The sequence below is a fragment of the Homo sapiens genome, chromosome 8, assembly GCF_000001405.40.
Source record: "Homo sapiens chromosome 8, GRCh38.p14 Primary Assembly".
NCBI classification, from domain to species: Eukaryota; Metazoa; Chordata; class Mammalia; order Primates; family Hominidae; genus Homo; species Homo sapiens.
The window spans coordinates 73,248,765-73,262,120 of record NC_000008.11 but is presented as its reverse complement, the minus strand read 5'-3'; the positions used below and the strand labels follow the sequence as shown (position 1 = coordinate 73,262,120).

At 38.8% G+C, this 13,356-nt stretch overlaps 1 protein-coding gene and 1 long non-coding RNA gene across 6 annotated transcripts in view; one reads left to right on the top strand and one right to left on the bottom strand.

The window, feature by feature from the left end:
• LOC105375901 (uncharacterized) overlaps positions 1–13,356 on the bottom strand; it is a 37,845-nt gene that overhangs the window by 135 nt on the left and 24,354 nt on the right. The gene's annotated exons all lie outside the window — the stretch shown is intronic.
• The window catches only part of C8orf89 (chromosome 8 open reading frame 89), a 44,602-nt gene that overhangs the window by 23,812 nt on the left and 7,434 nt on the right, over positions 1–13,356 (top strand). Inside the window, exons 2-4 of one of the 5 annotated variants that reach the window (NM_001391993.1) lie at positions 2,623–2,789; positions 4,995–5,148; positions 11,798–11,853. In NM_001391993.1, the coding sequence (NP_001378922.1) occupies positions 2,663–2,789; positions 4,995–5,148; positions 11,798–11,853 (337 nt within the window). In that variant the 5' untranslated portion in view covers positions 2,623–2,662. Of the gene's footprint in view, positions 1–2,590; positions 2,790–4,994; positions 5,149–11,797; positions 11,854–13,356 lie in introns of those variants that run through there. The other 4 variants (NM_001391995.1, NM_001243237.3, XM_047421206.1 and 1 more) reach the window with 4 other exon arrangements.

Genomic DNA, 13,356 nt, shown 5'->3' with positions numbered 1-13,356 from the left:
TATAATTTACTCCATATTTTAGTTAGTTTTGTTGCCATTTTCATTATTTTTGTGCTTATAATTGTCTTATTTGTTTTCTCAAGTCTTTAGCAACAAATCCTGTGAAATCAAAAGAGTTTGTCTTCAAGTACATCAAAGAAAGAAGGAGCCACTCTTCTTTCTTTGTTGCTTGGAAAGAGGATCAACCCCAAGAATAGAGAGGGTGGTGGCAGCATTAGAGAACAAGCCTGGAGCCTTGCTGCAGGGAAGGAAGCGTGGGCTGGGCCCAGAGGACCTGGCAGGACAGGTTGGAGCTGCCAAAACAGGCCTTTGGAACCAGTGCTGAGCTGGATTCTCCCCTTCCCTTTGCTGTCCCTGACTACGTTTCCTAATGCTCTTCACCTGTGCTCTGTAGCTCCTTACTGTCTGGTCTCCATCCTCACTTTTAGCTGCCAACACTGCCATTTCAAGCAGTGTAAAAAGCATGTCCAAGATCTCATCACAAAATCTAAAAACTTTCCCTCCTTTATTTTTAACTAATTTCTCACTTTGTAATAAATAACTTTCCAGGATCTGAGGCAGTGGCCCCTCAGGAGTAGCTTCTTGGGGAGGGCTCGCCTCTCCCTACTCCCCCATTGCTGAGGCTACCTTTGGGTCTCCCCCTCCTCTCTTCCCTCCCCTTCTCCCTGTTCCTCCTTTTCCCTCTTTCTCTTCTCCCCTTTGCCCTCACCGTTTGCCCTCTCTCCCCGTGTTCTGGGCCACATTCTTGTTTTTCCCCTTCCCTCCCTGCTGGTGTGCAGCACATACACTGCGGCTGTGTTAAACTACATTCTGGAACCCTGTTGTCTCTCACCGGAGAAAGGCATGCTTTTTATGTGCTTGTATTAGTCAGGGTTCTCTAGAGGGACAGAACTAATAGGATAGATGTATATATGAAGGGGAGTTTGTTAAGGAGTATTGACTCACGTGATCACAAGGTAAAGTCTCGCAAAAAGCTGCCTGCCAGCTGAGGAGCAAGGAAGCCAGTCTAATTCCCAAAACCTCAAAAGTAGGGAAACTGACAGTACCGAGAGCCCCTGACAAATCACTGGGTGTAAGTCCAAGAGTCCAAAATCTGAAGAACTTGGAGTCTAATGTTTGAGGGCAGGAAGCATCCAGCATGGGAGAAAGATGAAGGCCAGAAGACTCAACAGGTCAAGTCCTTCCACGTTTGCCTGCTTTATTCTAGCTACACTGGCAGCTGATTAGATCGTGTCCACCCAGATTAAGGGTGGATCTGCCTCTCCCAGTCCACTGACTTAAATGTTTCTCTCTTTTGACAACACCCTCACAGACACACTCAGGAAAAGTACTTTGCGTCCTTCAATCCAATCAAGTTGACACTCAATATTAACCATCACAATGCTCTTCCTCTGCTGGGAGCCATATCCTCCTCCTTCTGCTCTCCCACATCCTTGCTTTGCTGGCTTCCTCCAGAAATGCTTCCCTAATGCCCAAGGCTGCAGTGGGAATCCCTGCTGTGTGCTCCCACGGCACCCTTATTTTTTGCCCCCCATCATAGCACTTACTAAAACTGTATTATCCGTTTTCTTTCTTTCTTTTTTTTATTATACTTTAAGTTCTAGGGTACATGTGCACAACGTGCAGGTTTGTTACATATGTATACATGTGCCATGCTGGTGTGCTGCACCCATTAACTTGTCATTTACATTAGGTATATCTCCTAATGCTATCCCTGCCCCCTCCCCCACCCCACGACAGGCCCCAGGGTGTGATGTTCCCCTTCCTGTGTCCAAGTGTTCTCATTGTTCAATTCCCACCTATGAGTGAGAACATGTGGTGTTTGGTTTTTTTGTCCTTGCGATAGTTTGCCGAGATCAGAGAAATGTATTATCCATTTTCTCATCCGTATTTCTTTTACTAGATTCTAAGCTTCTCAAGGGCAGGGACTGTTTTGCTTAGCATGTTTCTCTAAGGCTTTATGTAATTCTTGGCATAAAATTGACACTCAGTAAATAATTTATTTTGCATGAATGAATAAGCATAGCTGAATCTGGCTATCTCTAATTCTTTGTTGTGATCACTGGAAAAAATGGATGCAAAATGCCCAGCAAGGATCCTGGAAAAATAGGCATTTCATAAATGGTAGCGGTCATGGTGGTGTCACTCCTCACCATTCCCATGGGACTCCTCAGGGTTTCTCATGGTTGTACTCTTTGGATGTAGTCTTGCCTTGCATGTAATAGATAATGTATATGACTGAATTGAATATGTGTTTAATATATTAAGTAAGCAGGGTAAGTGATTGATTTTCCTTCTGTGTCCACGTTTAAAATAAAAGTGATGATTATCTAGAAAACATGTTTATTTTCCATGGAGCATAAAATTTGTCTTTTTTTTTTTAGGCACAAATGCATTTTATAATGATAATGTTTTTGAGAGAATCCAAGTATTCCATTGTCTTGTAGGTGATAACTTGCTATTGGACTTTACTTTTAAAAATATTACCCAATATCTGTAACCTGGAATTTGAAAGAATTCATTAAAATGTTCAAAGTTTGAAAGAGAAACATTATGACACATCTGTTTGCCTTGTCTCGGACGTGCCTTGTTTTTTTTGTATTTTGTGTCCTGTCTCTGCAGCAGCATCTCCCTCTCATCAGCACTGTTGAAAGAAGAAAAAATGTCAGTGCTATCTCCTGAAATCAAATGTGAGACTTCTAAATTCACCAGAAGTTCCTTTGGCAGTTGTTTGATTTTTGAGAGTAGTTGGAAGAAAGCAGTTTTAGAAACACAAAAGATTAAGAAAGGTAACTTTATTGTTATTATTTTCCTTAAGAAAACATAGAAATAGTGCCTTGAATTTCCATGTATTTTTTTCATCAGGCAAGGGACATTTTCTGTGACATTTATGTAAGAATTATATCTTAAATTGATGAAAAAGAAAAATGGAAGCAAACTAAAATTAATTTAGTTAATGTAATTCTGTGACTCATGATGGAAACAAATTTTAAAGAGCTGTATTTCTTTTTTTTTAAACTCAAATTTGTCTGAAAGAACTGCATTTCTTAATATCCATTGCAGTACTGTCTCTGTTGAATCACACTCCGTTTTATAAATGGCATTTTCTTTTAAATAACTCAAGGTGATTTTTATATTTTAAGACATCCAAATCTTTAACAGTGCTGTTATGTATTAATAATTCTAACCAAAGCCAGGCACAGTGGCTTAGCCTGTAATTTGAGCACTTTGAGAGGCCAAGGCAGGTGGATCGCTTGAGCCCAGTAGTTAGAGATCAGCCTGGGCAACATGGTGATACCCCATCTCTACAAAAAACACAAAAATTAGCTGAGCGTGTTGGTGTGCGCCTGTGGTCCCGGCTACTCAGGAGGCTGAGGGTAGAAGGATCACCTGAGCCTGGAGAGGGTGAGGCTGCAGTGAGCCATGACCATGCCACTGTACTTCAGTCTGGGCAACAAAGTGATACCTTGTCTCAAAAAAAAAAAAAAAAAATTCTAACCAAAACTTTATTTTTGACTGAGTTATGTGGAGAGTATCTTAAATCCCATAGCTGCTCAATGAAGACTAGTTTGATAACTTTTGACATGTAGATGAGTATATTAATAGTTATTCCCCCTTACTTTCAAGTTAATTATATTTCTTGTTTATTCTGAATTCTGCTTCCATCTTTATTGATGGAGAAATAATTCTTTTTTTTTTTTTTTTTTTTTTGAGATGGAGTCTAGCTTTGTCACCAGGCTGGAGTGCAGTGGTGTGATGTTGGCTCACTGCAGCCTCTGCCTCCCAAGTTCAAGTGATTCACCTGCCTCAGCCTGCTGAGTAGCTGGGATGACAGGCATGCACTGCCATGCGCAGCAGATTTTTGTTATTTTTAGTAGAGATGGGATTTCACCATGTTGGCCAGGATGGTCTCGATCTCCTGACCTTGTGATCTGCCCACCTCGGACTCCCAAAGTGCTGGGATTACAGGCGTAAGCCACCACGCCCAGCCAATAATTCTTGAAAATAGTAAAATGCAAACTACTCAATGATTTATCCCTCTTTGGCTTTGAATGTGTTGCTATACTTTTTCTTCAACTTTCTTACCAGGTTTCCATTAAAGGTACTCAGACAGCAGTTTATCCACCCTTCTACCCCCCAAATCTAATTGATGAAAAAAGAGTCTATATGCTTTTTGACCAACAGAAACTATTTTTTCCAAAAGAGGAAAAAATCAAAAGTTACAAAATAACATTTTGAACATTCAATATAATAATTTTAGTCCCATTAAATACCATTTTTGTTGCTGTGCTACACTTGCTTTGTAGAGAATACTTTCAAAAAAATTCTCTATGTTTAGTTCAAAGAACACCCAAACCTTTAACCTCTTAATCTCCTTTTTCTTTTCATTTAATGCCTTGAAAATTTTTAAAAATAATTTGACCGTCTCTCTGTGCAATGGATATGTGAGGTTAGTAGAAGAAACAATCTTGATGCTTCAAGGTGATGGTTTACAGATTTGGTATGGAATTTTGTGGACAGAAAATCAAAATCAGTGCCTCAAGTATAATTCTTTGACTCTCATTGCTAGCTAAGATGATCATCTGTTTACACCTCTTATTTACATAAAAGCAGGAAAATGGAAATACTCTAAGTGCTAGATAATATCAGACTCTTGAAAGTGCCTTTTATTTCAGTGTGAAGGTATCTAATATTCTGGGAATTCTAACTGTATAAAATAATGAAAGCAGAGGATAGTGACGACTGTGGAAGATCCATGAAGCTGTTCTTTTTCCTTATTCCACTCTTAATCATCCCCTTAATCTACTCCTTCCTGCAGTCCCTATAGTCAGGATGTAGAAGGAAAGCCATTCTCTTGGGAAAGATGCTAAATTACAGTTGCTTAATTTTCTTTACTTAATAGCTGATTTTGTGTATTTTATTATGTGTTTTAGGATGCAGTAAAACAAGTAGTATGCATTTAATCAAGATGATTCTTATATATTTTTAACCAGAATATACCACAGCATTTGGTCTAGAAGAGCTCAAGGAATGTATCAAAATGCCATATTTACCAGGACTGCAAAGTTGCCAAAAAAGTGTAAGTTCAACTCCACTAGAGGTTCCTAAAAGACTGCCACGTGCTGATGCCGAGGTGTCTGCAGTCAGGTAGATCATTGCTATTTAATTCTCATTTGTTGAATGTGTATTTGTAGTAATACTGCTGAATGTAGAGGTTTTTCTGGTCAGTGAATTGCATTCATTTTTGCCTGTTTTTTTTTTTTTTTTACATAAAGGATTTAATTTTTAAAATCTAAGCTATTTTATTCAGTTTGACAACTCGGCACTTTTCTCTGTTTTCGAGTGATGTTACCAGAAAAGATTTAAGGGCTTTTTTTTTTTTTTTTTTTTTTTGAGACAGAGTCTCGCTGTTTTGCCAGGCTGGAGTACAGTGGTGTGATCTTGGCTCACTGCAACCTCCGCCTCCCGGATTCCAGCGATTCTCCTGCCTCAGCCTCCTGAGTAGCTGGGATTACAGGCGCCCGCCACCACGCCCAGCTAATTTTTGTATTTTTAGTAGAGACGGAGTTTCACCAAGTTGGCCAGGATGGTCTTGATCTCTTGACCTCGTCATCTGCCCAAGTCAGCCTCCCAAAGTGCTGGGATTACAGGCGTGAGCCACTGCACCCACCCCCGATTTAAGGGCATTTTAAAAAAAACCTTGATTGTCCTAGCCTAGATCATGCCCATGAGAGCATTGGAATTTTTAGCATTAGAAAAAAAAATTAACTCTCTGCAATATTAAAAAGTTTCTGTACCCTCTATATAGAACCTTGTGCTTCATTTCTGGTCTGACTGAAGTAATGTGAAGGAAGATTCTGAATGAGATGTTGGCCTAATTAACATCCTGCATTGACTATCAGAAATGAATTTTTCAGCCAGAAAAGTCTCCCTGACCTTGAATACTGACATTTGAAAACATTATTATTATTATTATTATTATTATTATTTGTTATTTATTTTTTATTATTATTATACTTTAAGTTTTAGGGTACATGTGCACAATGTGCAGGTTAGCTACATATGTATACATGTGCCATGCTGGTGCGCTGCACCCATTAACTCGTCATTTAGCATTAGGTATATCTCCTAAAGCTATCCCTCCCGCCTCCCCCCACCCCACAACAGTCCCCAGATTGTGATGTTCCCCTTCCTGTGTCCATGTGTTCTCATTGTTCAATTCCCACCTATGAGTGAGAATATGCGGTGTTTGGTTTTTTGTCCTTGCGATAGTTTACTGAGAATGATGATTTCCAATTTCATCCATGTCCCTACAAAGGACATGAACTCATTATTTTTTATGGCTGCATAGTATTCCATGGTGTATATGTGCCACATTTTCTTAATCCAGTCTATCATTGTTGGACATTTGGGTTGGTTCCAAGTCTTTGCTATTGTGAATAGTGCCGCAATAAACATACGTGTGCATGTGTCTTTATAGCAGCATGATTTATAGTCCTTTGGGTATATACCCAGTAATGGGATGGCTGGGTCAAATGGTATTTCTAGTTCTAGATCCCTGAGGAATCGCCACACTGACTTCCACAAGGGTTGAACTAGTTTACAGTCCCACCAAGGAGTGGGATTTCTCCACATCCTCTCTAGCACCTGTTGTTTCCTGACTTTTTAATGATTGCCATTCTAACTGGTGTGAGATGGTATCTCATTGTGGTTTTGATTTGCATTTCTCTGATGGCCAGTGATGGTGAGCATTTTTTCATGTGTTTTTTGGCTGCATAAATGTCTTCTTTTGAGAAGTGTCTGTTTGTGTCCTTCGCCCACTTTTTGATGGGGTTGTTTGTTTTTTTCTTGTAAATTTGTTTGAGTTAATTGTAGATTCTGGATATTAGCCCTTTTTCAGACGAGTAGGTTGCAAAAATTTTCTCCCATTTTGTAGGTTGCCTGTTCACTCTGATGGTAGTTTCTTTTGCTGTGCAGAAGCTCTTTAGTTTAATTAGATCCCATTTGTCAATTTTGGCTTTTGTTGCCATTGCTTTTGGTGTTTTAGTCATGAAGTCCTTGCCCATGCCTATGTCCTGAATGGTATTGCCTAGGTTTTCTTCTAGGGTTTTTATGGTTTTAGGTCTAACATTTAAGTCTTTAATCCATCTTGAATTAATTTTTGCATAAGGTGTAAGGAAGGGATCCAGTTTCAGCTTTCTACATATGGCTAGCCAGTTTTCCCAGCACCATTTATTAAATAGGGAATCCTTTCCCCATTGCTTATTTTTCTCAGGTTTGTCAAAGATCAGATAGTTGTAGATATGTGGCGTTATTTCTGAGGGCTCTGTTCTGTTCCATTGGTCTGTATCTCTGTTTTGGTACCAGTACCATGCTTCATGCTGGATATATGAAACTCAGACCCACAGATGTCTGCTGCGAGGTCTGTGGCTGGCCTAGGGGTGGGAGGGCCTAGGATGAGACCGGGAGGAGGGCGTGAAGAAGGGGAGGAGGTGGGACAAGCCCAGCCACCCAAATGACCAGGCATGAGGCGTCCCCTGGATAAAGCTGCATCTGGATCCCGTTTAGCAGCTTCCTTCTTGCCACTCCCAGTTCCTGTGACCTCCTGGGAATAGAGGAGGCCTCATTCCCTGAATGCCTTTTTTACAGAATAAAAGTGGTGGTGTTTTCAGTTTGGGCCAGCATCATCCTGATACCAAAGCTGGGCAGAGACACAACCAAAAAAGAGAATTTTAGACCAATATCCTTGATGAACATTGATGCAAAAATCCTCAATAAAATACTGGCAAAACGAATCCAGCAGCACATCAAAAAGCTTATCCACCATGATCAAGTGGGCTTCATCCCTGGGATGCAAGGCTGGTTCAATATATGCAAATCAATAAATGTAATCCAGCATATAAACAGAACCAAAGACAAAAACCACATGATTATCTCAATAGATGCAGAAACGGCCTTTGACAAAATTCAACAACTCTTCATGCTAAAAACTCTCAATAAATTAGGTATTGATGGGACGTATCTCAAAATAGTAAGAGCTATCTATGACAAACCCACAGCCAATATCATAGTGAATGGGCAAAAACTGGAAGCATTCCCTTTGAAAACTGGCCCAAGACAGGGATGCCCTCTCTCACCACTCCTATTCAACATAGTGTTGGAAGTTCTGGCCAGGGCAATTAGGCAGGAGAAGGAAATAAAGGGTATTCAATTAGGAAAAGAGGAAGTCAAATTGTCCCTGTTTGCAGATGACATGATTGTATATCTAGAAAACCCCCTCATCTCAGCCCAAAATCTCCTTAAGCTGATAAGCAACTTCAGCAAAGTCTCAGGATACAAAATCAATGTACAAAAATCACAAGCATTCTTATACACCAATAACAGACAGAGAGCCAAATCATGAATGAACTCCCATTCACATTTGCTTCAAAGAGAATAAAATACCTAGGAATCCAACTTATAAGGGACGTGAAGGACCTCTTCAAGGAGAACTACAAACCACTGCTCAAGGAAATAAAAGAGGATACAAACAAATGGAAGAACATTCCATGCTCATGGGTAGGAAGAATCAATATCGTGAAAATGGCCATACTGCCCAAGGTAATTTATAGATTCAATGCCATCCCCATCAAGCTACCAATGACTTTCTTCACAGAATTGGAAAAAACTACTTTAAAGTTCATATGGAACCAAAAAAGAGCCCGCATCGCCAAGTCAATCCTAAGCCAAAAGAATAAAGCTGGAGGCATCACGCTACCTGACTTCAAACTATACTACAAGGCTACAGTAACCGAAAACATTATTACAAATACTTTTCCTTCTAGAAATCAGACTGACTGACATACCATTAAAAGAAAACTCTCCAGAGGGATCTCTAAGTTAGTAAGATAGTCTCACATTCTACTCAGCTTCTGCTTTGGTTTGTTTATTTGTTCTTCAGATATTTGTTGAATGTCTAGTTCCTTTTTCTTTTTTTTGAGACGGAGTCTAGCTCTGTCGCCCAGGCTGGAGTGCAGTGGCGCGATCTTGGCTCGCTGGGAGCTCCGCCTCCCGGGTTCAAGCAATTCTCCCGCCTCAGCCTCTGGAGTAGCTGGGACTACAGGCGCCCGCCACCACGCCCGGCTAACTTTTTGTATTTTTTTAGTAGAGACGGGGTTTCACCCTGTTAGCCAGGATGGTGTCGATCTTCTGACCTCGTGATCCACCCACCTCGGCCTCCCAAAGTGCTGGGATTACAGGCGTGAGCCACCGTGCCCGGCCGAATGTCTAGTTCTTATTCACTCTGGTAGTATTAAAAAAAGTGAAGCACTTATAGCATTCTGAGTTGCACCTCCCTTTAGGGGAGGATTTATATTTTTATATTATCTTCCTATTATAATGAACTTTAAAGTCATCCAGTTATGCCTAGCACACAAGGTTGACGTTTCAAAATATGTTTCTTGAGTTTTCCAGCTAATACAATTGTTCTTTTTAAGTACTCTTGAAATAAATTCTGGTAATATAAATAGAGAGCTGGAACAGGTTAAAATGAAAAGTTGATAATTTTTATTTAAATTATGAAAATAAGAATAAGAACTTTGCAGAAAAAAAGGAAAATAATTATTTGATAATCTACCCATCATAACATATCCATTTTTATTGTTTGGATATTCCCTTCTTTCAAAAGAAAGAAAAAATTCTTTTTCATGGATATCATTTTCGTTGTGATTTTAGTGTACTTAAAATTTTTATCCTGCCTTTTTAAAAACTTTATATATATGCATTTTGTCATGCCACTATATGTTCTTTAAACAGTCTTACCAACCACATTATATTTCACTGACGGATCCACAGTTTACTTCATCACTTCCTATAGTTGGATTTTGAAAATGCTTTGATTGTTTTGGTTTTGTAAGTAACACCACAATAAACAATATCATACATATAGCTTTTGTCATCATTTTTAATATTATCTGAAGAAAGATTTTCAAGCTATAAAAATATAAAACGCAAAACTGTTCTTTCTGAAGTAAGGTTAGAATAAAATAAGGCAGAATTAGAAATGGAAGAGAGAGAGAGTTGCTACCAGATGGTAACTTAAGTCAAAGTGGAAAATGGCGGGGATGCAGAAAAAAGAGGGACCGTTTGAAACATGACTATAAAGCTACTAAGGACAGTCAGTTACATCGTAACCAAGACACTTGTGTCCCTGACTGTCAACTTATGTCATTTTCATCAAGGGTCACAGTGCCCTTTGGGGAGGAGGTAGGAGTGTGCAGGGCTGCCTGTGCCGATGGACTTTGTACTTTGCATCGGTATGGACCCGTCTTGTTACCCTTCCTTCGATACACGTGATCATCTCAAAGATACTGGAAGCCTGGAAAATACCCATGAATTAGCCCTTTCTGACTCTTAATTTGGGGTCTTTATTTTGCTTCTCATTATTTCCACCCTATTCAGGTTTTTGTTTGTTTGTTTCTGTTTTTCATTTGTGATTTGACTGTGAAATTATTTCTAAACATTTTACATTGATTTGAGTGTGAATTTACTTAGGTCAATGAAGGATAATTGACTATATTTTATTCATGTTATGACAAGTGTTCTTCATATATAAAGTGGAATAGTAATGGCTAAGTGACATAATGTATATGAAGTGCTTGGCAAACATAAGTGTTAGTTCTTTTCCCTGCCTTTAACTCAAGTGTCTTCATTTTAGCTGTTGTAGTGAGAACATGTCAAATTGCCTGCAAGTATTTTATTCTCCTGTGCACATTGCACAGCGGCCTGTGAAGGAGCGGTTTTGGCAAAGCAGAGAAGTACTCATTTTTGTTCGTTTTATGTACAACCCCTTACTCTCTTTTTTCCCTCCTTGTGTGAATATTTGATTGAAAGTGTAGTATTTTTTCAAATTTCCTTATTGGTAAGCAAAATATTTTAGTGACTCTCAAAGCACACTCTAGTAATATAAATAATAATAGTAATCCTAGAGGTGGAGTACTTAAAAGTCACTGCTGACTTTTAAAGTGTAAAATGGTTTCAAGAGGCTGGGCTCAGTGGCTCATGCTTGGAAACCCATTTTGGGAGGCTGAGGCAGGAGGATTGCTTGAGGCCAGCATTTTGAGGCCAGCTTGGGTAACATAGTGAGACCCCGTCTTTACAAACTTTTTTTTTTTAATTAGCCTTGTGTGGTGACATGCAGCTACCATCCCAGCTACTCAAGAAGCTGACGCAGGAAAATTGCTTGAGCCTAGGAGTTCAAAGTTACAGTGAGCTATATGATTGTGCCACTCCAGCCTGGGAGCGAGTGAGACCTTGTCTCAAAAAAAAATATTGTTACAAGAAATTTGGGATTTTATAATGGATTATCTCACCCACAGCAGATTCAATCATGATATATTTCCCCTAATAATCTACTTATTATCTAGATGTATTTCAGTGGGAACAAAATTATGACAAAATTCAGATTGAGGTGATTGATAGGTAAAAAGTGTACAAAAAAAGTGATAGTTGGTATTCAACGTATCCAAATGGCCTGTTTATCTTGATTCCCTCCCACTTAGCATTGCTTGAGTCATGACTAGTGAGAGGTATGATAAAGGTCTGTGGGAGAAGTTAGACCTAGCACTCAGCCACTGGTAAAATTTGCTAGCAAGATGTTGGGCTGGCTCATATCTGCTTCTGATGGAATGAGTTATAATGGAAAGACTTTCCTTTCCTTAACATTTATTTAATGTCTATGTGATGTTATTCAACAAGTGAGTTTCATTGTGCCCTGAATTTATATGTAAGTAATTTTATGATAATATATAATATTCAGGCTAAAGAAGACTAAGGAGACATGCAGTGTGGCACCACTTTGGGAGAAATCAAAAGGTAAGCTGACTCGTCCTTTTTTCTACTACCTCTCTTGGGTGTCATATACCTTATCTTTTTTTAAAAAAAATTCCTTTCTTTTCATTGATTAATTATCTTTGTTTTGTTACTACTTCTTTTAAGCTTTGTTTATTTTATAAACTAAGTGGATGTTGGGTTCATTATAAACATACTTTTATAATTTCAGGACTCAAGGGTAGGCCCTCATCATATCTCACTTGGGCCATTTAGTGCCTGCAAACTGGTCTTCTTGTTTTGAATGTCTGATCTTTGAAATCCTTCAATACCACAAAAAAAGCCTAAAACTTTGACTTCTAATCACATTAGTCTCTTCTTCAAACAGAATGACTCCCTCGTTACCCACAGACTGAGTATAAACTCTTTAGCTTGATGTTGAATCCCTTGCCATCTTCCCTCAGCTTTCCTTTCTAGCTTTATCTTCTAATTGCTATTTTTGTGAATCCTGTGTACTTATGACATCTAATACAGAAACTTATCTATATACCAATAGTTTTGGTCCCAAAAAACTACTTTTAAGTCAAGTTACTCCTAAGTTCATGGTGACTAAAAGGGTTTATGGTACTAAGGTATATTTTATTTGCCATTTGTCCTTCAGTCTATCAAATGATTCATCCTTTCCTATGTGCAACAATTATTTCATTAAAAGCTTAAGTTTTTTTATTGAATCAGTACAAATAGCCTACCATCAAAGAAAAGCCCAGGACTAGACAGATTCACAGCTGAATTCTACCAGATGTACAAAAAGAGCTGGTACCATTCACACTGAAACTATCTAAAAATTTGAGGATGAGGTATTCCTCTGTAACTCATTCTATGAGACAAGCATCATCCTGATACCGAAATATGCAGAGATACAACAAAAAAAGAAAACCACAGGTCAATATCCCTGATGAACATTGATGTAAAAATCCTCAACAAAATACTGGCAAGCTGAATCCAGCAGTATACCAAAAAGCTAATCCACCACAATTAAGTAGGCTTTATCCCTGCAGTGCAAGGTTGGTTCAACATACCCAAATCAATAAGGCAATTCATTACATAAACAGAGCTAAAGACAAAAACCACATGATTATCTCAACAGATGCAGAAAAGACTTTTGATAAAATTCAACACCTTTCCTATTAAAAACTCTCAACAAACTAGGTATTGAAGGACATACCATAAAATAATAAAAGCCATCTATGACAAACCCACAGCCAACATCATATTGAATGGGCAAAAGCTTAAAAACCTGAAAACCAGCACAAGACACTCACCACCCTTATTCAACACAGTATTGGAAGTTCTGACCAGAGCAATCAGGCAAGAGAGAGAAATAAAGTGCATTCCAATAGGAAGAGAGAAAGTGAACCTATCACTGTTTGTAGATGACATGATCCTATATCCAGAAAACCCCATAGTCTTGGCCCAAAAGCTCCTTAAGCTGATAAACAACTTCAGCAAAATTTCAAGATACAAAATCAACGTGCAAAAATTGATAGC